At 35.6% G+C, this 14,789-nt stretch overlaps 1 protein-coding gene across 4 annotated transcripts in view; it reads left to right on the forward strand.

Annotated features, from left to right (window-relative positions):
- ZCWPW2 (zinc finger CW-type and PWWP domain containing 2) overlaps positions 1-14,789 on the forward strand; it is a 177,638-nt gene that overhangs the window by 32,495 nt on the left and 130,354 nt on the right. Inside the window, exon 2 of one of the 4 annotated variants that reach the window (NM_001040432.4) lies at positions 9,283-9,402. The exons of the other annotated variants lie outside the window; for them this stretch is intronic. The gene's annotated coding sequence lies outside the window, so the exon portion shown is untranslated. The remainder of the gene's footprint in view (positions 1-9,282; positions 9,403-14,789) is intronic. 4 annotated transcript variants of the gene reach the window in all.

Below are 14,789 nucleotides of genomic sequence, written 5' to 3' on the forward strand. Positions count from 1 at the left end.
GAATTGCTTGCCTCCCTAAAAACTTCACCAGTAGCCTATTGTTGACTGAAACCCTTAACAATAACATAAACAGTTAATTAACACATACTTTGTATGTTATATCTGTTGTATACTGTATTCTTACAATAAACCTAGAAAAAAGAAAATGTTACCAAGAAAATCATAAGAGAAAATATATTTACTATTTATTAAGTGGAACTGGATCATCATGAAGGTCTTCGTCCTTACTGTCTTTATGTTGAGTAGGCTGAGGGTTGGTTTTGCTGTTTCAGGGATGATGAAGGTGGAAGAAAGTCTGCATGTAAGTGGACCCATGCAGTTCAAACCTATGTTATTCAAGGGTCAACTGCGTATGTGAATGTTAGAACACCACCAGCCTGGGTGACACAGTGAGACTATGTCTTTACTAAAAATAAAATAAATTAGATGAGCATGGTGGCACACGGCTGTACTCCTAGCTAGTCAGGAGGCTGAGTGGGAGGATTGCATGAGTCCAGGAGTTCGAGGCTGCAGTGAGCTATGATCCCACCACTGCACCCAGGCCTGGGCAACAGAGAGAACCCTTATCTCAAAAACAAAATTTTGGAACAATAAAGTGGCTGTATTAATTTGCTAGGACTTCTGTAACAAAGTACAACAGATTGGCTGGCTTAAAGAACAGAAATTTGGCCAGGCGTGGTGGTTCACACCTCTAATCCCAGCAATAGGAGGCCAAGGTGGGCGGATCACCTGAGGTCAGGAGTTCGAGACCATCCAGACCAACATGGAGAAGCCCCATCTCTACTAAAAATACAAAATTAGCTGGGTGTGTTGGTGCATGCCTGTAATCCCATCTACTCGGGAGGCTGAGGCGGGAGAATCGCTTGAACCTGGGAGGTGGAGGTTGCAGTGAGCTGAGATTGCACTAGTGCATTCCAGCCTGGGCAAGAAGAGTCAAACTGCATCTCAAAAAAAAAAAAAAAAAAAGAGAAATTTATTTTCTCACAATTCTGGAAGCTAGAAGCCTGAGATCAAGTCTGAGATCAACCCTGTTGACAGGATGGGTCCCTTCTGAGAGCTATGAGGGAAGGATCTGTTTCAGACCTCTCTTTTTGGCTTGTAGATGGCCATCTTCTCCCTGTCCTCACATAGTCTTTCCTCTGTATGTGTCTGTGTCCAAATTTCCTCTTCTTCCAAGGACACTAGACATATTGGATTAAGGCTCACCCTAATTACCTCATTAAATTTAATTACCTCTTTAAAGACCCTAACTCCAAGTAGAGTAATATTCTGAGTTACTGGAGATTAGAACTTTAACATGTGAATTTTTTTGGAGAGGAGGGCAAACAATTCAGCTGATAATAGTGGTTTTCTTGCTTTTGTTTTGAATACTTACTATTGTGCCAAAGACAATTTATAGAATCCTTTTATTGGTTATTTTCTCCATTTTCACAAACTCTAAAGCTTAATCTAGTTTAATAAAAGAGAAAAAAGGTACATATAATATTTAAGATACTGAGTCTTTGATAGGAAAGCTGGATCCTTCTGTAAAGTGCCCTTAAGTCTTTCAAAATCCTGTCCTAATGAGTAAAATTAAGGAAATTTCAGGGTACATAGATATTATATTAATTGTATGGTAAAACAAATGTTAGTTTCAGTCTTTCCACATTAAGAAGTAATAGTTGAAGCATTTTCAACGATGACGGGCTATACTTGTTTTGCCTCATAATAATAAATTTATAATAATGAAATCACATGGAATTGACACTAGCAGTATTTGTTAACAATTCTGAATTAAGGTTTTGCCAAGGTTTTGATCACTCAACCCTGTACTATTGAAATATTAATCAGGGCAGACTTAGCTTTCTAGTGCAAATACCTTGAAGGAGAGGGTAATTCCTAAATATACAGAGGTAACTTGACTGTCTATGTTGCATCCTGTGTCATCTCCCCAATATTAATACTCAATAAGGTGTTTAATTTATATAAGACATCTAAAGCAGAACCACAGTTCCTTTTGGGAAAATGGCAAATGTTTAGGATGAAAGAACCTATGCAAATAGTACCAAAGCATTACCACATAGTAGCTAATACACTCTATTAAATGTTACATATTGGAAAAATAAAACATGCAAGTCTTAAATATGACACAAAGCAAAGGTTAATGCTTCTTGGATTACATTTCTTGTTATCCGTGGGCTTATCATGGATATAAATAGTTAACTATTTTATTTGTATTATGTGACTGACAATGTCACTGAAAACCTGCACAATGCAGTTTTAGCTATGGATTCAATTAGCCTTTATGAAGGTTTTACCTGTGTAAAATGGGCATTTGGTGTGTTTAACCTATTAGGGTATATTTTTTTTTCTACTTTATAAGTAAAAAAAAAAATCTAGAAGATAAGAGGTGTGTGTTAAAGCTGAGTGGGCTGGATTTTGGGTGGCCTTTTTAAGTCAAGACATTCTAAATATTGGGATGTTAGGTGATTAATGAATTCTGAACGTGGACCTCTTCAATTCTAAAATTTTCATTAAAAGCCTCCCTCACATGAACCTAAACCAAAGTACTCTTTTTGCCACTTTTCTGAAAGTTCAGGGGAAAAAAGTCAGTTCACACTTTTTATAATGAATGAAGAACATTTGCCTATTTTATAAAAATGTGACTCAATGCTTACTTTTAAAACTGGATTTTTAAAAAATTGGATGGTATGGGTACCCTGTAATTTTATAATTATTCATCTAAACTTAAAATTTAATATTTCTTCCTTTTAGAAAAAATCAATATGCTCCATACCACCATATACACAGACCATGTAGTGAATTTCCTGGGCTCTCCCACAGCTTTAGAGGTATATTACTAGAGCCCTAGCCATTATCATTTTCCTCCATATTTTAAATTTGGGTAATACATTTCTGCTGGTATTAATAGTAGAATATACTATAATGTGGATTATCTCTACTTCTGTGTTTATTTATTTGTTACTAGACCCAACCACAGTCTTCTTTCCTTGCTTTCATCTTTCTCTACCCATGGAATATGTTATATGTATTTATACACTTTGTATTAATATGTTAGAAATCACAAATCTGTTTTGTACTTTTTATGTTATTAAATACTGCTTGTCAAACTTTTGCTTTTATACTAAATAAAATTAGTCTTACTAGAAAATTTTTTAAAAATATTCTAAAAACAAGAAAAGCAACCTTACGGCTTCCCTGCTTTCCTGAAGCTTTTCTACTGAGTACATTCACTTCAGACTATGTATTCTGGGTATTAATTCATGTGTCTGTATACTGAAAATATTTCATTCTGGTTACTTGCCTTTCAATTTACTTTATGGTTTTAATTTTTCAGTGTACCTTTAGTTACACAGAAGATTTAATCTTGACACATTCAAGTTGACCAATCTTTCTTTCTTTTTTTTTTTTTTTTGAGACGGTGTCTCACTCTGTCACCCAGGCTGGAGTGCAGTGGGACCATGTTGGCTCACTGCAACCTCCATCTCCTGGGTTCAAGCAATTCTTCCGCCTCAGCCTCCTGAGTAAGCTGGGATTACAGGCACCCATTTCCACGGCCGGCTAATTTTTTTATATTTTTAGTAGAGACGGGGTTTTACCATGTTGGCCAGGCTGGTCTCGAACTCCTGACCTCAAGTGATCCACCCGCCTTGGCCTCCCAAAGTGTTGGGATTACAGGCGTGAGCCACCGTGCCCGGCCAGCCAATCTTTCTTTTATGACTTTTGTGTTTTACATACATTTCTACTTCAATATTATACATATTTTATACTGTTTTGTCAGTCTAGAATTTATGTTTATAAGTGGTGCTAGGTTAAGATTAAACTTTATTTTTTATTGTAAGAATCACAAATAGATGTTGAATTTCTCATGCTTTTGGGGGACATATTAAGATGATCATATGGTTTTCCTTCTTTAATCCATAATGTGGCATGTCGTGAAAACAAGACAAGTAGTCAAGACCTGCACATATCAGACCTGTTGAAACAGTATTTAATTTACTGGAGAAAGCTCAAAGGGACAGGGGTCAATAGCTCAAAGTGTGAGTCTCTGTGACACCATCCCACTCTGAAGCAGACAGTGCATAGCAATTTTTAAAGGCCATATGAGAAGTTCCATTAGAGGGATCTTGACTGTTGGCCTGTATAGCTTTTAATTAATAATTAGAGAAATACCACCTCATCCCCTGGCATGATCAGGTGCCAGAATACAGTATGATGTGGAAGAACTTTTATTCCAGCACTATTCTGAAAGCATGGATATTCAAGGTTGACGAGATGTCCCAGCCCAACTGCATCCAGGCCTTATGGTTACAGCTTTAAGATAGTGCAAGATAAGAGTAGGATTGACCATATCAGTACACATGATTAGACTAGCACCAGCTCCTTCTCTGGCATGATAAGGGTTGAAGGTGACAGTGGCATCCAAACATTGTGGTTGACCAAAATTGATTGCTGTAGGCTCTGGGCCATAGTTAGTTTCTATGGAGCTTTGTAGGACATCATATCTTTGGGAGGCTAGCCTGCAGGGGACCATTCTTGGATTAATTGATTCTTACTCTTATTACCTATTTGGCCATGGTGAATTTTTTCTCTTAATATTCTAACAGATTTGATTTACTGTTTTAGTTAGGATTTTAAAAATCTACTTTCCTAAGTGAGATTAACGTAACCTTTTATTTTCTTGTTTCTTACACTCTCTTTATCTGGCTTTTAAGCTTTTTTTTTTTTGAGTTAAATATATACATTGTATCCTTTAGCAACTTTAAAATTTTTGTTTCTATAGTTATATTTCTCATACAATTTATTTGTTTTCTCTTTTTGAAGAACCAGCTTTTGCTTTTGTTGATTGTTATAAACTGAATGTTTGAGTCTCCCCTAAATACAAATGTTGAAACTCTGACCTCCAGTATGGCTAAATTTGGGGTGGAACTCCTAAGAAAGTAATTAGGAATAAACGCGTTCATAAAGGTGGTATCCTGATCTGGGAGGATTAATGCCCTTATAAGAAAAGACACCAGAAAACTCACTTCCTCTTTTCTTGCATACACGCCAAAGAAAAGCCATGTGAGGATCCAGCAACGAGGCATCAGTCCGCAAGCCAGAAAGAGAGCCCTCACCAGAAACAAAATCAGCCAGAACCTTTACCTTGAACTTCTAGTTTCTAGAACTCTAAGAAAATTAATAAGTTGTTTAAGTTATCCAGTCTGTGATATTTTGTTATTCCTCCCCAAGCAGACTAATAGATTCATTGTGTTTGTTTTTTCCTTGCTTTTTAGTTTATTCATTTCTCTTATACATCATTTTGTAAAGTTCAAGGTGCATCCTATGAAAAATTATTAGCTAAAGTTTGCCTCACATTAATATTTATTTTTTATTATTTTGATAGCCTATCCATTTAAACAATTTTGATGGTCAAATTTAAAATATCTGTGATATTGTATTGATTCTTTTAAAAATAAATAGCCTTTTATATTTCTATTTTTATGAGTTAAGGTTATATGATTATAGATATTCTAAAATGCTCTACTGTTTATTAAGCCTATGTTTTATAGGATACCTGTTTTCTCTTGTTGGATTTGTTTCTTCTCTTTTATTGTTGGCTCTTCTCTTTGATTTTTGTGATTGGGTGATCAACTGTATTTTAGATTCATTGTTAGTCTGTTTATGAGTTCTCTGCTTACTTTAGTTTTTCTCCAAAAAGGAGAAGGAGAATTGGTGGGGCAGACTCCTGGATAGGGTGAGCCAATAGCTTCTTCTGAGCAGTAAAAACTTCCTGTTCCTCCTGAATATCAGTAGACTACCGAAGGTCCTGTTTTCCCCCTTCCGCCCAGCATCAGCTCTCTCTGCTTTACCTGGCAACAGGCATCTCTGTTGCTTTTTCTTGGCCAAAGAGAGATTACCCTATATGCTGTTACTTCAATACTCAAACCAATCACTCTTGGTTTTCCCAGATCCCTCCAATATTCACTATCTGTCACTTGTAGGCTTAGCAAACCCTTGGACCACCTCTCATCTTTGTAGGCGTTTTCTTCTGTGCATGTTCTGCACATGGTTTTCTTCTCTTTGTTCCCATCTGTCTTCTTTCATGGAAGGATTCCCCATCATTTCTACAGATCTGAGGGTACTATTTTTTTAAAAAATTATATATTTTAGAAGATATGAAAATTTACTCTTCTGTAATTTCCTGGCACTTGAAGTGAGATGCGAAGGCTCTGGCAAGTATTTAGTCATCTGTCTTAAACCAGTCTCCAAGACAGTTACACTTTAAAAATTGTTTTATTTTCATATAATTTCAGAGTTACAGAAAAGCTGCAAAAATAGTAGAAAGACTTCTCAGTTACTCTACATCCAGTTTTTTCAAATATTAACATTTTATTAGATTTGCTTTATTTATCTTTATGTTTTTGTGTACATCTATCTACTCTATCTGAATCATTTAAGAGGAATAATTTAAGAATAAGTTGCAGTGATATCATAAAAAATGGCAGAATAGGAAACTCAAAATAAAAGCTGTCTGCCCACTATAACAATGATTAAACTGGCAAAATCTTTCAGAATTGACTTTTTTGGCGCTCTGGAATGTAATTTTAGAATCTAACCAAAAACTTAGTAACACCCAGAAGAGTGTGCAATAAAGAAGGAAGCTGCTAGATTTCAGTAAGAGAGTTTTATGGCATTTTCACTTACCTTCTTCATTAGTCAGGGTTCTACAGAGAAACAGAATCAAGAAAATGTGTATGTATAGAGAGAGATTTATTTCAAGCAATTGGCTCATGTGATTGTAGAGGCTTGGCAAATCCAAAATATGGTGGGGTAGGTTAGCAGGCTGGAGACAGAAAAGAGTGGCAGTTTGAGCCGAAAGGTAATCAGTCTAATGGTATAATTCCTTCTTGCTTGGGGCAGGTCAGTCTTTCTTTTATTAAGGTCTTCAACTGAATGGATGACGCCCACCTACATTGTGGAAGACAACCTGCTTGACTCAGAGTTCACTGATTTTAGTGCTAATCTCGTCCAAAAACACCTTCACAGAAATATCCAGAATAACATTTGACCAAATATCTGGGCTCTGTGGCCTAGCCAAATTGACACATAAAATTAGCTATCACAAGTCCCCCCCTTGTCAACCTGACACCCATACACATCTCCTTAAACAATACTTAATCTGCCACTAAAGACTCTAACAAGATCGTACTTTTGCCTAATATGATACAACTATGTTGCATACAACTGAAAACACACTAATCCTTTTTCCAGAAGAGGTTGCAAAGTCCATGTGTGATGTTTTCCCTTTTCCTAGATATCCTGTAACACAAATACTTTGATGTAAAGTTAATAGTACTTAAATACTATGACATAAAGTCAGTATATCTTATATTACAAGATAATGGGATATTAGGGGAAGAAAACAAAGATATTTGGCTTATACTCACATATATTCATAATAAAATAAGGAAGAACTACTCATGACAATTAAAATTCTCATTTCTGTAACTGGTCATGTAGTCATAACTGGCACCTTCTGCCCCTACCTATTTTGTATTTTCTTTGCACCTTCAGCCAGCATCTCAGCTGATAACCCAGTCCTTCATTCTTGAGTGATGTGGGCCATTAAGTACTCCTGCCTGTTTTGGGTTATTATAATTTTCTCTTAACTTTAGTCACAGTACGTGGTAATACTGAGATGCCCTAAAGGATTTCTCTTGTATTGCAGACATACTGTTTCTCTTCCATTGTGAAGCAGTATCCCAGTTTCTTTTTGGAAGTCAGGATCAATCAACTGATCCATCACAGCTCCCTTCTTTGTTGATTTAGATCAATAAGGAGCCCCTCAGCCTAAACTTCCAGTTCAATGGAATCATTGTTGTGTCTCCTAGTGGAAGCATTTTTCCCTCTGGAACTAAGACCTCTAGGCCGACAGAGCATGGCATCTTGGGAACAGGAAGCAAAAATGTTACTAGTGGGCCACTAGGGGTAATAGTGAGTAGTGATACTCCCATTGCCACCCCTTGATTCATGGATACAAGATATAAGGGTCCCCTTCAGGGCAGACCTAGAAGCTTTCAGATCACTGATGGAGAACTTGAGCTAGAAATTTGAGTCCCTGAGCTCATCCTTTTTCTTTTTTTTCCATCACTTTGTCCAATAACATGAGGAAGAACCATCCAATCTCATTATACTCATTAGTTTGACAAAAATGTTTGAAGATACTATATGCATGGTTGCCCAGATCTTGGCTTTTATAAGTGCTTAATTAGGAGCATCCATTGGTGATATTTTGCTTACCTCTATTGCCATATCATGCCATGGACTAAAATTGCTCTCTTTAGTAATGGAAATGGAGTTATTAGTGTCTTTAAATCTAATCAGAGACCAATTACAGAATTCCCAGAACCAATTTAGGAAACGCATCCTTAAGATTTTGTTCTTTTAGAACAATTCCCAGTACCAGAATCTGTCTTAGAGTTCTTCAGAGAAACAGAACCAATAGGACATGATATATTTATAAAGAGAGATTTAAGGATACATCTCATGCAATTGTGGATACTTGGCAAGTCCAGTTTCTGATGGGGGAGGCCAGTGGGCTGGAGACTCAGGGAAGAGTTGCAGTTTGAGTCTAAAGTCAGTCTTCTGGTAAAATTCCTTCTTACTCAAGGGATGTCAGTGTTTTTGTAATTAAGGCCTTCAACCGACTGAATGAGAACCACCCACATTATGGAAGTTAATCTGCTTTACTCAAAGTTCATCAATTTTAGTGTTAATCTTATCTGAAAACACCTTCACAGGAATATCCAGAATAATGTTTGGTCAAATACCTAGGCACCATGGCCCAGCCAAGCTGACACATAAAATTAACCTTTTTTGACATCCTCCATTTCCCAGTTTACAGATGGCCATGGGAATGTCAGCCCACATTCTTGATGTGAGTTGCTAGTGCCAGAGAGGGCAACACAACAAAGAATATCATCTTCACAGAGTAAAAGTGCGGATGTGATCCCTCTTACTACTTCATGGTGTATTTCAAAAAACAAAGAATTATTTTTATTATTACTTAACCATAATGTAGTTATCAAAATCAGCATCTTAACATTGATGAAATACTATTACCATATGAGTATGTCTTAAAAGTACTTATTACAAATTCCAAAATTTCCTACCCAAAGTTTTTACCAAATTTATGCTTTTGTCAGTGATATATCAGAATTTCAAATAATTCTTTATTATTTTAAAAATGTGGGTATTATATAGTTTTAAATTTGCTAGATTGATGTATAACTTCTTCAGATTCATCCCAGTAGAACGCCTGCCTCTTTAGTGACTACAGACCTCACTTCCCTTCTCTGGAGTTTTGGAGTCTATTTTCTTCATGGAATTTTGCTAGGAACAAAAGAAAAGTCTAACTCCGTAAGTACTTGAGAAACTCCAAAATGTTTTTCTCTAGTACATAAGCATTTTTATTCCCATCACTGTTCTCTATTGCATATATGCAATTTTAAAATGTAAAAAAATTCACCTGTATAACTTCTCTATGAAATAATAATTTTTCAGATAAAATTAAAATACTAGGAGGTTAAATGACTTTCCCAAAGTTAGCCACAAATTAGAAGGTTGTGGAATCTTCTTACACTTTCTGACTTTGAAGTGGATAACATCATTTTGGGTTGGTTAGGTGGAAGAACAGTGAAACACTCTATCAACATTTGCCAAAGGGAATTCATATCTGCTGTCTTTTGTTTTAAAGACAGTGATAAAGGCATCTTTCATGAGAGATGAGAGGTACCAGGCTAGACTAGGGCCCCAGATAGGGATTGAAGGTGATGAAGTGTCCTGGATGTTAATGATTGACAAGAAGCACAACTTTTAGACTAAAATTATTTTCAAGTTAAGGGAGATTACATAAGAATTGGAGATAGAATAAACTTGAAGCCCAGCACATACTGCAAAGTAGATAAGGTTTTTAGCAAGTCTTCAGAACTAACAAGACTTAATGACACAGTTGTGATCAAAGGGTGACTGATGAAATTTGTAGTCTGATACATGGTTAAAAAGAACATAGAAGAGGATATAGCAGGCAGTCATGCCAGCAATATGGAGCACTACATGATTCCAGCCTTCAGTTCCATCAGTCCCCTCTCCCTGCCACACACACACACACACACACACATGCACACACACACACACACACAAAGCCAATGAGACAGCCACCCATGAATGAAAATAGCCCTGGGAGGGCTCAGGAGTCCAATTAACAACATCCAGCAATGCAGTGGAACAAATAATAGACAATATTCTGAAAGAATAATTGCAGAAATGGGCATACCTGAAATGCCTGGAGATGGCTAGGGATACAAAAGAAGGGCAGGGGCTACTAGTATCAGCAGTGTGGCTTATGCTACCACATGGCAGCCCCTGTGGAAGCCATGGACACCTTGCAGTTTTCACGGAATCCTCTTAGTGTTTGTCAGCATGACCTCTAATGCTCTGCTCCACAGAGGATACTGACAGCTTTCACAACTGAGGTAACCAATAACATTGCCACTGCAGACACCCAGAGAGGGAAATGCTTTTGGGTCCCTCACCCTCATCCCCTAAGAAGGAGCCACTATTTTGCCACCCCAGGACCAGGCCACCACCCACCCAACCCAGTGCATGCCCCAGCCCCTAGAGAAAGACAGGAAGAAAGGAGCAAAGGACCCACAAAACAGCCAGAAAAAATTTAACAAAATGGCAATAGTAAGTCCTTACTTACTGTTTGCTATTTACCCATCAATAATTACATTGAATGTCAGTGGATCAAATTCTCCAATTAAAAGACATAGAGTAGCTGGATGGATTTGTTTTAAAGAAAGATCTGATAATATGCTGCCCATGAGACTCACTTCAGCTTTAAGGACATATAGACTGAAAGTGTGGAAAAAGACATTTCATGCAAACAGAATCCAAAAGAGGCCAGGGCTACACATATTAGACAAAATAGACTTTAAGTCAAAAACTGTAAGATGAAACAAGGTCATTATATAATGATAAAAGAGTCAGTTCATCAAGAAGATATAACATCCATAAATATATATGCACCCAACATCATACTACCTAAATATATAAGGCAAATATTAATAGATCTGAAGGCAGAAATAGACAGGAATACAATAGTAGTAGGGAATTTCAGTACCCCACTTTCAACAAGGGAGAGATCATTCAGACAGAAATCCAATAAGGAAACACTGAACTTATACTACACTTTGGACCTAATGGACCTAACAGAAATGTAGAACATTCTATCCAACAGTAGCACAAAACACATATCCTTCTCACACATGCACAGAACATTCTCTAGAGTAGAGATAATATGTGAGGCCATAAAACGAGTCTTAACAAATTTAGGAAGATTGAAATCATATAATTTCTGACCACAATGGTATAAGATCAGGAACCAATAACAGGAAGAATATTATAAATTCACAAAATGTGGTAATTAAACAACATGTCCCTGCACAACCAATGGCTCACTGAAGAAATCAAAAGTGAAATGAAAAAAAAATATTTTGAGATAAAGAAAAAGATATCATACCAAAACTGATGGGCTGATACAAAAACAATACTAGGAGAGAAAAATTTATAGCAATAAATACATACATGAAGAAAAATGAAAGAGTTTAAATAAAGTTTACACCTCAAGGAACGAGGAGAAAACAAACAGCCCAAAGTTAGCATAAGGTGGGAAATAAAGATTAGTGCAGAAAAAAAAATAGAGATTAGAAATATACTAGAAAAGATCAAAGGAGAGAAGATCAAAGAAACTAAAACTGGTTTTTTGAAAGGATAAACAAAATTGACAAACCTGTAGCTCAACTAAGAAAAAGGAGAGAGAAGACTGAAATAAAATAAGAAATGAAAAAGGAGACATTACAACAGATACCATAGAAATACAAAGGATCATAAGAAACTACTATGAACAATTATATGACAACAAATTGGATAAGCTGGAAGAAGTGGATAAATTCCTAGAATTATGTAACCTACCAAGATGGAATCATGAAGAAATATAAAATCTGAAATAGGCTAATAATAAGTAAGGAGTTTGAATCAGTAATCAAAATTTCTCATCAAAGAGATGATAACTTCGCTGCTGAATACTACCAAATATTTAAAGATGAATTAATATCAATCCTTCTTAAATTCTTCCAATAAATTGAAAAGGAGGAAACACACTTCTAAACTCATATTACAACATTAGTGTCACCCTTATACCACAATCAGACAAGGACACTACAAGAAAAGAAAATTACAGGTCAATATCCCTGATGAACGTAGACGCAAAAATCCTCAACAAAATGCCATGAAACCAAATTAAACAGCACATTAAAAGGATCATACACTATGATCAAATGAAATTTATCTTTGGGATGCAAAGATGGTTCAACATATGCAAATGAATAAATGTTATATGCCACATTGACAGAATGAGGAACAAACATTATATGATCATCTCAATAGATGAAAAAAGCATTTGACAAAATTTAACATCAGTTTATGATAAAAACTCTTAACAAAATAGATATAGAAGGAATGCACTTCAACATCACAAAGGCTGTGTATCACAGTTGTATGGCTAACATCATACTCAGTGGGGAAAGGTCTAACGTTTTTCTCTAACAAGACAAGCATACCCACTCTCACTCTCACCACTTCTGTGCAACATACTAGAAGTTTTAGCCAGAGCAATTAGGCAACTAAAAGGAGTAAAAGATATCCAAATAAAAAAAGGAAGATGTAAAATTATCTCTGTTTCCAGAGGACATGACATTATGTATAGAAAACCCTAAAGACTCCATCATAAAACTGTTAGAACTAATAAATTTACAAAAGATACAGGTTATAAAATAAATATAAAAATTAGTTATGTTTTTGTACACTAACAAGAGCTATCAAAAAAGTTATTCAGAAGAAAATCCCATTTACAATAGCATCAAAAAGAGTAAGATCCTAGGAATAAACTTAACCATGGAGATGAGAGATCTGTACACTGAAAACTATAAAACATTGATGAAATAAATTGAAAAATAAACAAATGGGAAGATATTTCATATTTGTGGATTGGAGGAACTAATATTGTCAAAATATACTTATGATCCAAAACAATCTACAGATTCAATGCAATTTCTATCAAAATTCCAGTAGCATTTTTCACAGAAATAGACAGTAAAATCCTAAAACTCCTTTGGAACCATGAAAGACTCTAAATTTATAACAGAAGCAATCTTGATCAAGAAGAACAAAGCATCACACTTGCTGATTTGAAATTATATTACAAAGCTATAGTAAGCAAAACAGTATGGTGGCATCATAAAAATAGACATATAAGCAAGAGGAAGAGACCAGAAATAAACCCATGCATATACAACCAATGGATCTTTCACAAAGGCAGCAAGAATACACAATGGGGACAAGAATAGTGTCTTCAACAAATTGTCTTAAGAAAACTGGATATTCACATGCAAAAGAATTAAATTGGACCATTATCTTACATCATACACAAAAATCAACTCAAAATATATTAAAAAATGAGACATAAGACCTGAAACTATATAACTCCTGAGAGAAAATATAGGGGAAATCTTTATAACATTTGTCTTGGCAATAATTTCTTGGATGTGACACCAAGTGCACAGGCAATAGAAGCAAAAATAAAGTGGGACTACATCCAATTAAAGTGTATCTGCTCAGCAAAGGAAACAATCAACTGAGTGAAAAGGCAGCCTATGGAGTGGGAGAAAGTATTTGTAAGCCATACATCTGATAAGGGGTTAATATCCAAAATTTGTAAGGAATTCATACAATTCTGTAGCAAAATATCAGATAATTTGGTTAGAAAATGAGCCAACGACTTAAGTAGGCATTTCACCAAAGAAGACATATGAATGTCCCACATACATTGATGTTGAAAAGATGTTCAACATCAATAATCATCAGGGAAATGCAAATCAAAACCACAATGAGATAACTCTTCATACCTGCAAGGGTGGCTATTATCAAAAAAAGCAGAATGTGTTGGTGAGGATGTGGATTGGCATCCTTTTGCACTGTAATGTAAATGGGAATGTAAAATGGTACAACTGTTGTGGAAAACAGTATGGAGTTTCCCCAAAAAGTTAAAAATAAAACTACCATGTATTCCAGCAATCTTACTTCAAAGGTATTTATCCAAAAGAACTGAAAACAGGACCTGGAAGAGGTATTTCCAATCCCATGTTAACTGCGGTGGCATTCACATTAGCCAAGAAGTGGAAACAAACTAATGTCCATCAACAGACAAATGGATAAAGAAAATGTGGCTTTTACATACAATGGAATATTATTTAGCCTTAAAAAGGAGAAAATCTTGTCATTATGACAGCTGAGTAAGCCTGGGGTACATTATGCTAAGTGAAATAAGCCAGACACCAAAAGGCAAATACTGTACGATCCAATTATATTTAGAATTTGATAAAGTTGTACTGATGGAAACAAAGTAGAAGGGTGGTTACCGGAGGGCTTGGAGTGAAAAATAGGGAGATGTTGATCAAAGAGTACAAACTTGCACTTATAAAATCCTTAAGTTATAGAGACCTAATGTACAGCATAGTGACTATATTTAATAATATATACTTAAAATTCGCTAAAATATTAGGTCTTAATTTTTCTTTTCAGAAAAAATAATAGATAACTATGAAAGGTGATTGGTTTATTAACTTGATTGTGGTAAGTATTTTGCAATGTATCTATGTCAAAACATCATGTTATATACCTTGGTA

Source organism: Homo sapiens, chromosome 3 (assembly GCF_000001405.40).
Source record: "Homo sapiens chromosome 3, GRCh38.p14 Primary Assembly".
NCBI classification, from domain to species: Eukaryota; Metazoa; Chordata; class Mammalia; order Primates; family Hominidae; genus Homo; species Homo sapiens.